This window comes from Homo sapiens, chromosome 15, assembly GCF_000001405.40.
Source record: "Homo sapiens chromosome 15, GRCh38.p14 Primary Assembly".
NCBI classification, from domain to species: Eukaryota; Metazoa; Chordata; class Mammalia; order Primates; family Hominidae; genus Homo; species Homo sapiens.
The window spans coordinates 97,255,564-97,272,536 of NC_000015.10; the positions used below are offsets into that span (position 1 = coordinate 97,255,564).

Genomic DNA, 16,973 nt, shown 5'->3' on the forward strand with positions numbered 1-16,973 from the left:
TACCATTTGAAATAAAAACTAGATAGCTATGAAAATGCTGTGAAATCAAAGCAAAGTTTCTAAATGTGAACTATATGTTATGGCATGCCTGAGGCTCTGAGCCTGTCTCCATTTGTTTAAAAAGGGTGAGAATAGAGTGTTAAGAAGAGGAGCCTCGAACTTAACTTTCCTTCTTGAGATAACAAGAAAGACACACAGACCTTTCAAGAGAGAATTGCTGTTTACTTGGTGATTTATCATTTATTGAATTTCTTATTGATATATCATTTTAAATAATTTTTATAGCTGCAATGTCTACATCCTACGTTTTGGGAAACTTAATCCATTTTCAGCCAGGAGGACAACACCAGCTTCCACTGGTGATGGGTGATGGCTGGACTCCTGCAGTGGAGAAAGGCATCCTGAAATGAAGCTTCGATGCTCCTGTGAACTCCCTCCCACCCTATGCTCTGAAATCATGTGTTCCAACATCTTTTCTTTCAGTGTTTTTATTTAGGGCTTTCTCCATGACCTTATTCCAAGCCACATGATCTTTCTTTCTTTATGCACTAGTTCAGGATATTGGCTCCTCTTATGTTCATTAAGGCGGCCCTAACCAAGCACATTTAATTCCTCAATGACTAATTTGGTTCTGAGAGGTTAAGAACTGGTGAGGCTAAGGCAACGGTCTATAGTATCTGGTGATGAGATAAGTGCAGATTAATTTGTGAGATAGAACATTTCTACCCTTTTCCCTTTGGCTTTAAGGTTTATTTAGAATTCATGAAGTTGTGTCTGTGCTGAAAAGCTTTGAACCGTTAAAGGGAATTATTTAACAAAATTTCTAAAAATGCCTGTGCAAATTGGTTTGTCTTGAAATTCTGGTGCTTTGTTATTTTTGCCACCAAGAAAAAGGCTTAAAAAAACGCTTGAGGGAGAATATGAATGTAATAAATATTTCATTTTTGTAGCACATCGTGCAGTGTTCTTCAGTTTCAGACATTGCCAGCAGTCAACACAGTAGTAAATTTCAGCACCTGTGGACCTGTTTTGGTAATTTATGATTTCCATTAGATTTCCATTAGAGATGGGCTGAAATGATTCAGGCAGGTTCATGTACCCCAGCCATGAGCATGCTTGGCCTGAGGGATTGTTTGCATGTAGGTACTTGGCAGCATGCACACGTTTTGTTGCCCTTTTTTTTTTCCTGTCATTGTTATCATTTGGGGGCTGCTCAGGACATTGCCCCGAAATGTCAAAACGCAGAAAGATGTTACAGACTTCTACCATTTAGGATTCCTCTTCTGTCACAATCTGTACTTGTTCTATAATTCATTTAGCAAATATTTAGTGAACCGTTGTTAATGCATTGGAGATACACAGAGGAATAAGAGATGATCTCTGATGTCAAGAGGTTTCTAGGGGAAGAACAACTCATTAAAAATAAGTGCAATTAAGTATTACATCAGAGTATTAAGTACAGTTAAACAAGTAGAATAAATGGCTAGTGCAACCAGAGCCACCCGAAAAGAACTCATGGATGAAATACTAAGTGGACAGGAGAAAGCAGTGCTGAACATAGGAGGGAAGGGGATTTTAAGCGGGAGAATAGGTTTCAGCAAAAACTCAGAGGCAGGAAGCATCTCTCGTCTGCACACGAAGCATAAGACATCTGAAACATGGACTGGCAAAATAAACCAGGAGCTCAGGGAGCCATGAACATTCCTAGAGAGCACTTGAGGGATTGACTGTAATGATGGTAATATTTTCCTACATTTTACTGAGATTTTCTTTCATGCGGTTTTGTGTACTTTCCCTTTTCCCTAATCAGTTCAAGCTATCTGTCAGCCTGGTAGTGAAAGAGGATTAGAATTGTTACAACAGGAATGAGAAAAGAAAGAAGCATTCATGTTCATTCTTTGCCATCCAACACGGGAACTTGGGATTTTTGTCTCCATAACAAAGCAGTGTGCTCCAAAACCTGACTTAAGTCAAAAGTGGGGAGTGGGGAAGATGTTCTATTCTCTTCACCTTGAACAAAGGGCAACCTGACAGACTTGGTCATAGAGTTTTCCTGTGCACTATGAGTAGAGGAACAAAAGACATAGCAAAGGAAATGAAAATCCTCCATTCATCATATCTGAGCTAGGGGACCGGGGGTCAAAGAAGGGAAAAATAGGAAGATCTTATTTCTCTCCAAAACTTCACTGTGTGCAAGGAGAAAGGATAGCACTTTGAATTCAACATGTATTAATATGTATAGGACACATTTTTATAGGAGCACTACAGAGAAAAATGGCACTTTTTAAAGGGGATACTCCACACATAGCCACTTCCTACATAATATAGAAATGTTGGCAGGAGGTAGTAGAAAAGAACAGAATGGTAGATGAGCTTAGGAGAATGGTCCTGGTTTCCTTGAAGCCTGTCTTTGGTGCTCACAGAGCAGTATCCAGGGGTGTCTGTATATTTCAGCAAGGTCATGAGAAAAGGCCACCAAGCTCGCAGGTGGCCCCTCAGAGGCCGAGGATCCTAGTGAGGAGGCCACAGAGATTTTGTGTCCAGAGCCAAATGGCTGAAGCTGCAGCACTACTAGTGGGTGGAGGCTTGTCGTTCTGAAAAGCTAAGTGGGCCAGTAGTCCTCATGGTGTCCAGGCTAAGCAGGGGGCCAGACCAGTCATGCAGGGGCAGTGAGGCTCCACAGGGCTTAATTTGATCTCACTTTTCCCTAATTCTGAATACCAGAAGGCCATATATGCCAGATTCCAACAATTTTGTAGGGAGCAAGGGAAAGGATAGAAAATCTAAGACACTGGACATTGTACCTAAATAACCGAGGTTCTATGGGGCTAAAGTTCTTTTTAAATTTTTACATGGGACTACATTTGCTCAGACTGAACTAACATCTGTTATTTTTTCACTCTTCTCATTGGATCGAAGTTTATTAGGAAAGACATTTTAATTATTAAGAAAAATTCTACATTGTATGTGCCCATCAACCTTGACCTGTGACTTTTAGTGAGTAAATATGCTACAAATCACTGAGATGCTTAATATAGCTTGATTTAATCTCTTCTTTATACACAGTCCTACAAAGTCTAGGAGCCTGAGCAAAATAAATAAATAATAAATAAATAAATAAACAAAATGAGAGCAACATTTTCTGACACAAAAGTGTTCGTTTCACACATTACTTAAAATGACAAAACATTGCAACAACTATATTCCTACTTTAAAGACTTAATAATGCATACCATAGCACAGATATAAAATTAAATAATATGTCATTGTTAGGAGTTTTATGTGGAATTTTTAATAACATAAAATGTATATTTCTATCATTAGTTAAAAATATACATTTGGACATAAGTTATTGTTCAATTAGAGATAACTAAAGAACATTAACAGGAAATACATGAAAATCTTAAGGAAATTCATTGCTGAGTGTAGATTTATGATTGGTTCTTTTACGTCTTCAATAAAAGTTTTGCATATAGTAGATAGTACACCTAATCTAGTTTCATATTGGAAAACCTGAAATGAATTTACTACATATTTTTTAAAAAACGAAGAGGGGAAAGAGGAGGAGACGTGGTGTAAAAGAGATCAGAGGAGTAGATCTTCTCTTCCTATCCTTTGAAAAGCGTTGATAAATAGGGATTTAGGAGGCATAAATACTTATACTTGATAAAACTAAAGTTGGTTCAGTAAGCTGGGACCTACCACAGAATCTAGGAATTGGGCAGAGCTTTACTGATACCTTTAACCTACCATTTTTGCTGCCTTTAAGATGTTCTCTGTCTCTTCTAAAACTTTCATTGAACATAAATCTAAATCATTCATCTGGTATTTTCTAATGTAACTTTCCTTCTAGTCCTAGAAAAAGATAAAAAAATCTCATCAGCTCCTCTGAACAAACAATTGTCAGCCCTCCATGAGTAAATGCAAAAGCTCACTGTGGTTTTTGTCAGTAGGTGCATGGTCCTCAGGACCTGGGAGGCACATTGGACATCACTTCAACAGCATTTCTAAGGTGTGTCCTTGGCCGCAGATTAGCAACGAAGTGTTCCTGAACAAAGGGTTGCATGACTTTGGAGAACTCTTTAAACAAAATTAAACAGATTCCTTCACCAGAGAATTTCTCAGTTTGTGTCTCACTGACTCATAAATCTCTAAGGGAGAATTGAATTACACACTTCCCAATTTTATTTGACTCAAAGCCCTTTGTATACATTAACAAAGGGATTATATTTTAAACTGACTTTTTCTGGAAGCTCCATACATTTACTGACTTCCATGAGAATGCTGGTCAAACACCTAGCTGGAGTGGATTTACAGCAAGGTAAGGGGAGAACTGAAAAGTCAAAAAAAAAAAAAAAAGAGAGAGAGAGAGACCTCATGGAGAGAGAGTTGGGGTCTCCCAGAAGCCAGGTAGCAAGATGGGGTTAACTGAGAGCCTGGAGGTGGGCAGGCTCCACAGCTCACAGAGGAAGATCAGGAGCAGATGCAGCTGAATAATCTGCTTGTGCGTTCACCAGCCTTCCTCAGAATCACTGCGGTTCCTTGTAGTAGTCTCCGCATTAACATGAAAAAGAGCATTAAATTTGTTTGGCACTGCCTGGAAATCTTCTCCCAGGATGAATCACATGCCTCAGAATTTTGGCATTGCTAGGTGGTGAGGGATCTGTACTCCAAATAACACAACTTCAAGTCTCTTCAAAGATAACAGACAAAATGTATTGCATCCTTTTCTGACTGGCTCAATTGAGTTGATGGTAGATTCTTCTCTTGGATGGATTTTGAGAAACAGTTCCAGTTCTAATACAGACCACTTATTTGAGAAAGTTAATTGTCACCGTTAAAGGTCAGTTTTCTCACCTTAAAATAGAACCCTATATATAACCATATGTGTATAGATAGATGGATAGATAGATAGACATAGATGTAGATATAGGTATAGATATAAATGTAGATAACCACATATGTGTAAGACATTGATATGGTTTGGCTGTGTCCCCAACCAGATCTCATCTTGAATTGTAGCTCCCATAATTCCCACGTGTTGTGAGAGGGACCCAGTGGGAGATGACTGAATCATGGGGATGATTTCCCCCATACTGTTCTCGTGGTGGTTAATAAGTCTCACCAGATCTGATCATTTTATAAGGGGTTCCTCCTTTTGCTTGGCTGTCATTATCTCTTGCCTGCTGCCATGTAAGATGTGACTTTCACCTTCCACCATGATTCTGAGGCCACCCAAGCCACGTGGAACTGTGAGCCCATTAAACCTCTTTTTCTTTATAAATTACGCAGCCTTGGGTATGTCTTTATCAGCAGAGTGAAAATGGACTAATACAGACATAAATGGTCTTACACATATATGGTTATATATGTGTGTGAATGCATACACAAACATATGCACAAAACCATACATACATATATAAGCAATGGGGTTATTGTGTGGATTAAATGACATGATATTTATCACATACTCAGAGGAGGGTCTGTCCCTTTTCAAGCACTTGATTAATAGTAGTTATTATTACTGAATTTGTAGTGCTTAATACACAGTAGTATTAGTGTTGTTGTTTCATATATTTACAGCATATCACACCTGAGAAGGACATTAGAAATTAATATTGAATTGACAAGGAACAGAGTCATTTAAATAACAGAGATTTTGACCTGAGTACTTATCGTAATCTTATTTCATTGTGGTTTATTAATTCTTTAAACATATATTGAAATCATTCACAGCTATAAGAAGTGGGAGTAAGGGATGCATGAGTAATTAAATCCTCATTGGCTCCAGACTACATAGATTATTTTAGTAACTCCTCATGGGTCATTGTTTTGACATTGTTAAGGACCACTTAACAATTTCAGTTTTTAACTATTCAAGTTTGAGAATATGGCAATCCCATCAAGCAAAAGATATTGAATCTACGATTCACTTAGTGCTATTCACCAGACTGGAAACACAGAGATGAACAAAACCAACAAAACACCTCCTTTATGAAGCCCTCCTGCAATTGCAATGTAATTTATGCCTATGGATATGAAAATCAAGAAAACAGTGAAAATATCTGCTAGTAAGACCCTGTAAAGCTTACCCATGTTTCGTCATGACCAATTTCCCAGAATTTTTAGGACTTTTAGTTAAGTGCTATTGTAAATTCCTCCTACACAGATTATAAAGGTTAAGGAACCATATCACACTGACACTGCTAAAGCCAAAATCCCTTTACCATTCACCATGACCATTGTAGTAGTAGTCTCATGATTTTTCTGTGCCTTCTGCCCCCTGTAATCTTTCTGATATACTATTAGAGTCATTGTCCTGGAAAAATGTTCTGACCAGGCCATTCTGAGGCTTCTGAAATTTCAAAACCTTCTTGGTACTGAATGTAGTAATCATGATTTGAATGTCTAACCCCAACCCCCTGGCTCTTCTATGCCCTATGCTCCAGCCAAATTGAATTCCTTCTGTTTCCCGTAAATGTCCTAGGCTTTGTCTCTTATGCTTATGCCTCCCGTGCCGTTTCCTTCATCTTCATGTGAGCAAACCCCACCTGTCTTTCAAGGCACAGGTCAAATGCCTTCCCTGACTCCTTCCCTGTCAACAATAATTTATACCTCCTCTGAATTCGCATGGGTAGGTATCCCTTATGGCACTTGCGACTTTAGGAAGATTCTTTTTGTGACACACACACACACACACACACACACACACATATATACACATATACACGTGTGTGTGTGTGTGTGTGTGTGTGTGTGTGTATATGGCTGTGTCTTGAGCGATTTTAGTACCAAATCCTTGGTCTGGTCATCATGACATTCATGCAGCATTTTGGTTTGAGTGACACACACACACACACACACACACACACACACACACACAATTAATTTAAATATGGGTTGATATTGATAAGGAAAAAACAATGAAATAGGGGAAGTCAGAGATGTAAACACACACTCACACTGTTTTAGTCTATTGTAATAATGAATTGAGTTCTCTATATCGATGCAAAAAAAGGTGATGAAATGATACAATGTTTGCATCTTTCTCTTTTACAAAACAAACACCAAAATGAGATGAACTAAATTATTTTTTTCATGTGACTGAGTTGACTCTTATTAACCTATTTTGGGTCCGTTGTGGCTTTGTGTTCATAAAAATATTCATCATACTTATCTCCCTTTCCCTTGAACCCTCAGTAATTCTACTTCATAAATTCTTACTTTTGTATATTGGGTTTGCCTAAAGAAAAAATACTCTTGTTTCACCGTAGTTTTTAAAGATGTTTATCAATAATGTGTGACTTTCTGTGTTTCTGTTTTTTAACTTTTCTACCATTTTCTGTGAATAGAAACGTGTGAGTACTTGGAAGATAATGCAGTGGGTCTATATTTGCGAGAATAAAAACTGTGAATATTGTAGCAAGCAGTAAGTTGCTTCATCTAAGTGCAAATATTCTGCTCCTCACACGCTCCACTTGGGCTGCTTTCCAGGATCTATCATTTAGGCTGTGGGCCACTCCAGGGCATGTGTCTTGCTGTCACAATGCCTTACTACAAGTACATTTTACAGTGATTTTCAACAAGCTGAAGAGTGACATTATCACAGTGGGATTTCTGATCTTCACATTCCAGAGGGGATCTTCATCCAGGAGGTCAGTAAAGATGGAGTTTAAAGCAGTGTTTTAGCCACTATGTCTGCAAATTCAGGGAGGCAAACAGAGAGAGCTACAAGTCTCCAAAGGCGTTATTCATATCATTTTAAAAATTAGGTGCAGTAGTATGTTGTGCCTGTGAGTTTCTTCCTATGTATTTTAAAGGATATATGTGGTTTCCCTGCATTAATTCCTCTGTGACAAAACTGGAAAATAAAACAACATAACTGATATTTAATGTATATCCTCAAATAAAGAACAAGAAATGTGATAGACACACAGACAGATAGATAAACAGATAAGAAAAAGAAAGGAGAAGAAAGGGAGGGAGGGAGGGAGGAAGGAAAGAAGGAAGGAAGGAAAGGAAAGGAAAGACAGAAAAAAGAAGAAAAGAGAAAGAGAAGGAAAGAAAGAGAAAGAAAGATAGTAGTTTCTTGGGGCTGCCATTACAAAATACTGCACCACAAACTGGATGATTTAAAATAATAGGAGTTTATTATCTTGGTTCTGGAAGCTAAAAGTCAAAAACCAAAGTGTCAGCAGGGCTGTGCTTTCTTTGGCATTTCTAGGATATAATCTTTCTCTCAATTGTACTAGATTCTAATGTTTGCCAGCAATTATTGGCATTCTTTGGCTTGTAGATACATCATTCCAGTCTCTCATGGCCATCTTCTCCCTGTATGTCTTCATATCGTCTTCTTTCTATGCATGTCTGTTTCTGTGTCCACATTTTCTCTTTTTATAAAGATAATAACCATTGGATTAGAGCCTATCCTAAGGATCTCGTTTTAACTTCATTACCTTTGTAAACTTACTTTCAAATAAGATCAAATTCTGAGGATTCTGAAGGCTAGGATTTCAACATTTCTTCTTGGGAGAACATAATTCAACCCATAACAGATCCAATAGATTTGTAAATCGATAATTTAAAATACATTTTGGTGACTATTTGAAATATACTTAATTTACTATGAAGATTTTTCTCCTGACAACATCAACATGCCCATTATATATCTATATGTGTTGATGTATGCTTAAGTAGGGAATATTAATAAATAAATTAAATAATTAAGAATAAACCATTTCTGATCATCAGTTTTGTGCAAAGGACTCCCAGTACTCTGTGCTTGGTGGGTAAAACGGTAAAGCAGACACAGGTCTTCTCTTAAGAACTTGGATCTGAGGGTTATTGTGAATGTCTCCAACTTTAATTGGTCCATCTTGCACATGGTTTCCAATCAGCACTAGTGCTCCAATTTATAATTCTGAACCTAACTACTATTCCACACCTTCAGGCTGCTCCACTCTGCCCCACCTGCCTGCTCTTTGTTGATTGTCTTAATTTATGTAAGTATTTTTTCTTACCGCATCCTCCCCTTCCTAAGTGGAAGCTCCTTTGACAGCTGAAAAACAGATCACAGACTCCATTTTGTGGTACATTCTCATCCCTCTATCCAAGAACAACTATTAGTGTTTTACACTTGTATGTTTAATCAAATACCAAATATGTGGAGAGCAACTTTTCAAATTTAAATATCACTCTATCAAATAATCTGGGGATACTAAAGATGTTTGAAATTTTTTTGCCTTCAATGTATTTAAATGTACAGTGAGACAAGATTTTCGCAGTGCAACATTTAGAGGACAAGATAGTTTCTGTGATTCACGTTTGAATTATACGAATATAACATAAGCTATGTATTAAAAAGTCCAGTCGATACTAAAGTAGGCTCGAAGGAACCTTAACATTAACATATTCAAAGCTGAATGCCTGGTCTTATTTCCCATCAGTCCCTCACTGGGATTTCTCTTCTTCTGTGTTTCCCAACTGGTTGCCCAGGCCATATACCTAGGAGTCACCAGTAATGCTATTGCTTCCCTAACTTCCCACTGATTCGTTGTTGAGACCCCTCTCTGAATCTATATTGTGTTCGACATATCCACCACAGAGGCTTTAGTCCACCTATGCTTGTCCAGTCCATGAAAATGCCTCCTCATCTATCTACCTGCATTCACTGTTCCAATCCACTTTCCACAATGCAAACAGGATATTTTAAATATATAAATTTGATTACTTAAAAACACTTCAGGAGCTTCTCTTGGGTAAAGATAAAATTTCATAACATGATTTCTAAGATTCTGTATGGATTTTCCTATGTACTATTCTCCTTTTTGAATATCGACTATTCCCCCAATGAGACTCCCTTTCTTTCCATCCTTCTACTAAGCCTGCTTTCCTTTTCTTGGGACCTTTTTATATATTGCACAGCCTGAAGTACTCCTGGCTCCTTCTTTAGTCCCAGAAGTTTCTTCCCACTCCTCAAGTCTCAGGTCACCCACCTGTTTATTTTTTTTTTTTTAATTTTTTTTTATTATACTTTAAGTTTTAGGGTACATGTGCACATTGTGCAGGTTAGTTACATATGTATACATGTGCCATGCTGGTGTGCTGCACCCACTAACTCGTCATCTAGCATTAGGTATATCTCCCAATGCCATCCCTCCCCCCTCCCCCCACCCCACAACAGTCCCCAGAGTGTGATATTCCCCTTCCTGTGTCCATGTGATCTCATTGTTCAATTCCCACCTATGAGTGAGAACATGCGGTGTTTGGTTTTTTGTTCTTGCGATAGTTTACTGAGAATGATGGTTTCCAGTTTCATCCACGTCCCTACAAAGGACATGAACTCATCATTTTTTATGGCTGCATAGTATTCCATGGTGTATATGTGCCACATTTTCTTAATCCAGTCTATCATTGTTGGACATTTGGGTTGGTTCCAAGTCTTTGCTATTGTGAATAATGCCGCAATAAACATACGTGTGCATGTGTCTTTATAGCAGCATGATTTATAGTCATTTGGGTATATACCCAGTAATGGGATGGCTGGGTCAAATGGTATTTCTAGTTCTAGATCCCTGAGGAATCGCCACACTGACTTCCACAATGGTTGAACTACTTTACAGTCCCACCAGCAGTGTAAAAGTGTTCCTATTTCTCCACATCCTCTCCAGCACCTGTTGTTTCCTGACTTTTTAATGATTGCCATTCTAACTGGTGTGAGATGATATCTCATAGTGGTTTTGATTTGCATTTCTCTGATGGCCAGTGATGATGAGCATTTTTTCATGTGTTTTTTGGCTGCATAAATGTCTTCTTTTGAGAAGTGTCTGTTCATGTCCTTCGCCCACTTTTTGATGGGGTTGTTTATTTTTTCTTGTAAATTTGTTTGTGTTCATTGTAGATTCTGGATATTAGCCCTTTGTCAGATGAGGAGGTTGCGAAAATTTTCTCCCATGTTGTAGGTTGCCTGTTCACTCTGATGGTAGTTTCTTTTGCTGTGCAGAAGCTCTTTAGTTTAATTAGATCCCATTTGTCAATTTTGGCTTTTGTTGCCATTGCTTTTGGTGTTTTGGACATGAAGTCCTTGCCCGCGCCTATGTCCTGAATGGTAATGCCTAGGTTTTCTTCTAGGGTTTTTATGGTTTTAGGTCTAACGTTTAAATCTTTAATCCATCTTGAATTGATTTTTGTATAAGGTGTAAGGAAGGGATCCAGTTTCAGCTTTCTACATATGGCTAGCCAGTTTTCCCAGCACCATTTATTAAATAGGGAATCCTTTCCCCATTGCTTGTTTTTCTCAGGTTTGTCAAAGATCAGATAGTTGTAGGTATGCAGCGTTATTTCTGAGGGCTCTGTTCTGTTCCATTGATCTATATCTCTGTTTTGGTACCAGTACCATGCTGTTTTGGTTACTGTAGCCTTGTAGTATAGTTTGAAGTCAGGTAGTGTGATGCCTCCAGCTTTGTTCTTTTGGCTTAGGATTGACTTGGCGATGCGGGCTCCTTTTTGGTTCCATATGAACTTTAAAGTAGTTTTTTCCAATTCTGTGAAGAAAGTCATTGGTAGCTTGATGGGGATGGCATTGAATCTGTAAATTACCTTGGGCAGTATGGCCATTTTCACGATATTGATTCTTCCTACCCATGAGCATGGAGTGTTCTTCCATTTATTTGTGTCCTCTTTTATTTCGTTGAGCAGTGGTTTGTAGTTCTCCTTGAAGAGGTCCTTCACATCCCTTGTAAGTTGGATTCCTAGGTATTTTATTCTCTTTGAAGCAATTGTGAATGGGAGTTCACTCATGATTTGGCTCTCTGTTTGTCTGTTGTTGGTGTATAAGAATGCTTGTGATTTTTGTACATTGATTTTGTATCCTGAGACTTTGCTGAAGTTGCTTATCAGCTTAAGGAGATTTTGGGCTGAGATGATGGGGTTTTCTAGATATACAATCATGTCATCTGCAAACAGGGACAATTTGACTTCCTCTTTTCCTAATTGAATACCTTTTATTTCCTTTTCCTGCCTGATTGCCCTGGCCAGAACTTCCAACACTATGTTGAATAGGAGTGGTGAGAGAGGGCATCCCTGTCTTGTGCCAGTTTTCAAAGGGAATGCTTCCAGTTTTTGCCCATTCAGTATGATATTGGCTGTGGGTTTGTCATAGATAGCTCTTATTATTTTGAAATACGTCCCATCAGTACCTAATTTATTGAGAGTTTTTAGCATGAAGGGTTGTTGAATTTTGTCAAAGGCTTTTTCTGCATCTATTGAGATAATCATGTGGTTTTTGTCTTTGGCTCTGTTTATATGCTGGATTACATTTATTGATTTGCGTATATTGAACCAGCCTTGCATCCCAGGGATGAAGCCCACTTGATCATGGTGGATAAGCTTTTTGATGTGCTGCTGGATTTGGTTTGCCAGTATTTTATTGAGGATTTTTGCATCAATGTTCATCAAGGATATTGGTCTAAAATTCTCTTTTTTGGTTGTGTCTCTGCCCGGCTTTGGTATCAGAATGATGCTGGCCTCATAAAATTAGTTAGGGAGGATTCCCTCTTTTTCTATTGATTGGAGTAGTTTCAGAAGGAATGGTACCAGTTCCTCCTTGTACCTCTGGTAGAATTTGGCTGTGAATCCATCTGGTCCTGGACTCTTTTTGGTTGGTAAACTATTGATTATTGCCACAATTTCAGAGTCTGTTATTGGTCTATTCAGAGATTCAGCATCTTCCTGGTTTAGTCTTGGGAGAGTGTATGTGTCGAGGAATGTATCCATTTCTTCTAGATTTTCTAGTTTATTTGTGTAGAGGTGTTTGTAGTATTCTCTGATGGTAGTTTATATTTCTGTGGGATTGGTGGTGATATCCCCTTTATCATTTTTTATTGTGTCTATTTGATTCTTCTCTCTTTTTTTCTTTATTAGTCTTGCTAGCGGTCTATCAATTTTGTTGATCCTTTCAAAAACCAGCTCCTGGATTCATTGATTTTTTGAAGGGTTTTTTGTGTCTCTATTTCCTTCAGTTCTGCTCTGATTTTAGTTATTTCTTGCCTTCTGCTAGCTTTTGAATGTGTTTGATCTTGCTTTTCTAGTTCTTTTAATTGTGATGTTAGGGTGTCCATTTTGGATCTTTCCTGCTTTCGCTTGTGGGCATTTAGTGCTATAAATTTCCCTCTACACACTGCTTTGAATGTGTCCCAGAGATTCTGGTATGTTGTGTCTTTGTTCTCGTTGGTTTCAAAGAACATCTTTATTTCTGCCTTCATTTCGTTATGTACCCAGTAGTCATTCAGGAGCAGGTTGTTCAGTTTCCATGTAGTTGAGCGGCTTTGAGTGAGATTACTAATCCTGAGTTCTAGTTTGATTGCACTGTGGTCTGAGAGGTAGTTTGTTATAATTTCTGTTCTTTTACATTTGCTGAGGAGAGTTTTACTTCCAACTGTGTGGTCAATTTTGGAATAGGTGTGGTGTGGTGCTGAAAAAAATGTATATTCTGTTGATTTGGGGTGGAGAGTTCTGTAGATGTCTATTAGGTCACTTGGTGCAGAGCTGAGTTCAATTCCTGGGTATCCTTGTTGACTTTCTGTCTCGTTGATCTGTCTAATGTTGACAGTGGGGTGTTAAAGTCTCCCATTATTAATGTGTGGGAGTCTAAGTCTCTTTGTAGGTCACTCAGGACTTGCTTTATGAATCTGGGTGCTCCTGTATTGGGTGCATATATATTTAGGATAGTTAGCGCCTCTTGTTGAATTGAACCCTTTACCATTATGTAATGGCCTTCTTTGTCTCTTTTGATCTTTGTTGGTTTAAAGTCTGTTTTATCAGAGACTAGGATTGTAACCCCTGCCTTTTTTTGTTTTCCATTTGCTTGGTAGATCTTCCTCCATCCTTTTATTTTGAGCCTATGTGTGTCTCTGCATGTGAGATGGGTTTCCTGAATACAGCACACTGATGGGTCTTGACTCTTTATCCAACTTGCCAGTCTGTGTCTTTTAATTGGAGAATTTAGTCCATTTACATTTAAAGTTAATATTGTTATGTGTGAATTTGATCCTGTCATTATGATGTTAGCTGGTGATTTTGCTTGTTAGTTGATGCAGTTTCTTCCTAGTCTCGATGGTCTTTACATTTTGGCATGATTTTGCAGCGGCTGGTACCGGTTGTTCCTTTCCATGTTTAGCGCTTCCTTCAGGAGCATTTTTAGGGCAGGCCTGGTGGTGAGAAAATCTCTCAGCATTTGCTTGTCTGTAAAGCATTTTATTTCTCCTTCACTTATGAAGCTTAGTTTGGCTGGATATGAAATTCTGGGTTGAAAATTCTTTTCTTTAAGAATGTTGAATATTGGCCCCCACTCTCTTCTGGCTTCTGGGTTTCTGCTGAGAGATCTGCTGTTAGTCTGATGGGCTTCCCTTTGAGGGTAACCTGACCTTTCTCTCTGGCTGCCCTTAACATTTTTTCCTTCATTTCAACTTTGGTGAATCTGACAATTATGTGTCTTGGAGTTGCTCTTCTCAAGGAGTATCTTTGTGGCATTCTCTGTATTTCCTGAATCTGAACGTTGGCCTGCCTTGCTAGATTGGGGAAGTTCTCCTGTATAATATCCTGCAGAGTGTTTTCCAACTTGGTTCCATTCTCCGCATCACTTTCAGGTACACCAATCAGACGTAGATTTGGTCTTTTCACATAGTCCCATATTTCTTGGAGGCTTTGCTCATTTCTTTTTATTCTTTTTTCTCTAAACTTCCCTTCTTGCTTCATTTCATTCCTTTCATCTTCCATTGCTGATACCCTTTCTTCCAGTTGATCGCATCAGCTCCTGAGGCTTCTGCATTCTTCACGTAGTTCTCGAGCCTTGGTTTTCAGCTCCATCAGCTCCTTTAAGCATTTCTCTGTATTGGTTATTCTAGTTATACATTCTTCTAAATTTTTTTCAAAGTTTTCAACTTCTTTGCCTTTGGTTTGAATGTCCTCCCGTAGCTCAGAGTAATTTGATCGTCTGAAGCCTTCTTCTCTCAGCTCGTCAAAATCATTCTCCATCCAGCTTTGTTCCGTTGCTGGTGAGGAACTGCATTCCTTTGGAGGAGGAGAGGTGCTCTGCTTTTTAGAGTTTCCAGTTTTTCTGTTCTGTTTTTTCCCCATCTTTGTGGTTTTATCTACTTTTGGTCTTTGATGATGGTGATGTACAGATGGGTTTTCGGTGTGGATGTCCTTTCTGTTTGTTAGTTTTCCTTCTAACAGACAGGACCCTCAGCTGCAGGTCTGTTGGAATACCCTGCAGTGTGAGGTGTCAGTGTGCCCCTGCTGGGGGTGCCTCCCAGTTAGGCTGCTCGGGGGTCAGGGGTCAGGGACCCACTTGAGGAGGCAGTCTGCCCCTTCTCAGATCTCCAGCTGCGTGCCGGGAGAACCACTGCTCTCTTCAAAGCTGTCAGACAGGGACATTTAAGTCTGCAGAGGTTACTGCTGTCTTTTTGTTTGTCTGTGCCCTGCCCCCAGAGGTGGAGCCTACAGAGGCAGGCAGGCCTCCTTGAGCTGTGGTGGGCTCCACCCAGTTCGAGCTTCCAGGCTGCTTTGTTTACCTAAGCAAGCCTGGGCAATGGCGGGCGCCCCTCTGCCAGCCTCGCTGCCGCCTTGCAGTTTGATCTCAGACTGCTGTGCTAGCAATCAGCGAGACTCCGTGGGCGTCGGACCCTCTGAGCCAGGTGTGGGATATAGTCTCCTGGTGCGCCGTTTTTTTAAGCCGGTCTGAAAAGCGCAATATTCGGGTAGGAGTGACCCGATTTTCCAGGTGTGTCCGTCACCCCTTTCTTTGACTCGGAAGGGGAACTCCCTGACCCCTTGCGCTTCCCAGGTGAGGCAATGCCTCGCCCTGCTTCGGCTCGCGCACGGTGCGCGCACCCACTGTCCTGCGCCCACTGTCTGGCACTCCCTAGTGAGATGAACCCGGTACCTCAGATGGAAATGCAGAAATCACCCGTCTCCTGCATCGCTCACGCTGGGAGCTGTAGACTGGAGCTGTTCCTATTCGGCCATCTTGGCTCCTCCCCCTGGCCCACCTGTTTATTTATTCACTTATTTTTTTGAGACAGAGCCTCACTCTGTCTCCCAGGCTGGAGTGCAATGGTGCAATCTCACCTCACTGCAATCTCTGCCTCTTGAGTTCAAGCAATTCTCCTGCCTCAGCCTCCTGAGTAGCTGGGATTACAACCACACATCACCACGCCCAGCTAATTTTTATAGAGATGGGTTTTCACCATGTTGGCCAGGCTGGTCTCGAACTCCTGACCTCGTGATCCGCCCACCTCAGCCTCCCAAAGTGCTGGGATTACAGGTGTGAGCCACTGCACCCGGCCAACCACTTCTTTCTCAATGCAACATTCTCCGACACCAAGACTGCTCAAAACTGTTATGGGCGTCTGCTGTACCACATTCATCCCCCTCAGAGTTCATAACCAAGTTGCAATTTTTTATTTACTTTATTTCATGTCGACATATTACTGAAATCTAAGCTCTGTTAATATTTATATATATGTTGAATGAATAAAGAGGACACAATAATAATTATTTGTACTAATTAGAATACAGGCTAAACTATTATACAAAGACACTCAAATATGGGCTGACTTACACGGGATAGTTTATTTTCCTCTCTCTAAATAGTACTTATGTCAGCAGTCCATAGCTGGAGAAGTGGCTGCTCCTCTCCAAGAGGTCCATCTTCTCTCCCTGTCACCTCCCCACAGGGTCATCTTGGTGGTTGTGACTAAAGCCTGGGTGCCCACTCTCCAGCCTGTGGGAAGTGGGAAAGAAGTCCTGGGAAGCAGCTGCATCTTCAAGGAGGTGGTCCAAAGTCACACTCATCACTTGCCAACCCCTCTAGTTCCTCCAAACTTGATCACATGGCCATTTCTAGCTGCAAAAGATGCTTTAGTTGGGTAGCTATGTGTTCAGTTAAAGCCCAGCGTTCTCTAATTCAAAGG

At 39.8% G+C, this 16,973-nt stretch overlaps 2 long non-coding RNA genes across 4 annotated transcripts in view; one reads left to right on the forward strand and one right to left on the reverse strand.

Moving 5' to 3' along the window:
- The window catches only part of LINC02253 (long intergenic non-protein coding RNA 2253), a 197,799-nt gene that overhangs the window by 21,272 nt on the left and 159,554 nt on the right, over positions 1-16,973 (forward strand). The window lies entirely within an intron of this gene.
- The window catches only part of LOC105371006 (uncharacterized), a 47,150-nt gene continuing 46,785 nt past the window's right edge, over positions 16,609-16,973 (reverse strand). The window contains exon 4 of the long non-coding RNA NR_188334.1: positions 16,609-16,961. This is a non-coding gene — a long non-coding RNA (uncharacterized LOC105371006). The remainder of the gene's footprint in view (positions 16,962-16,973) is intronic.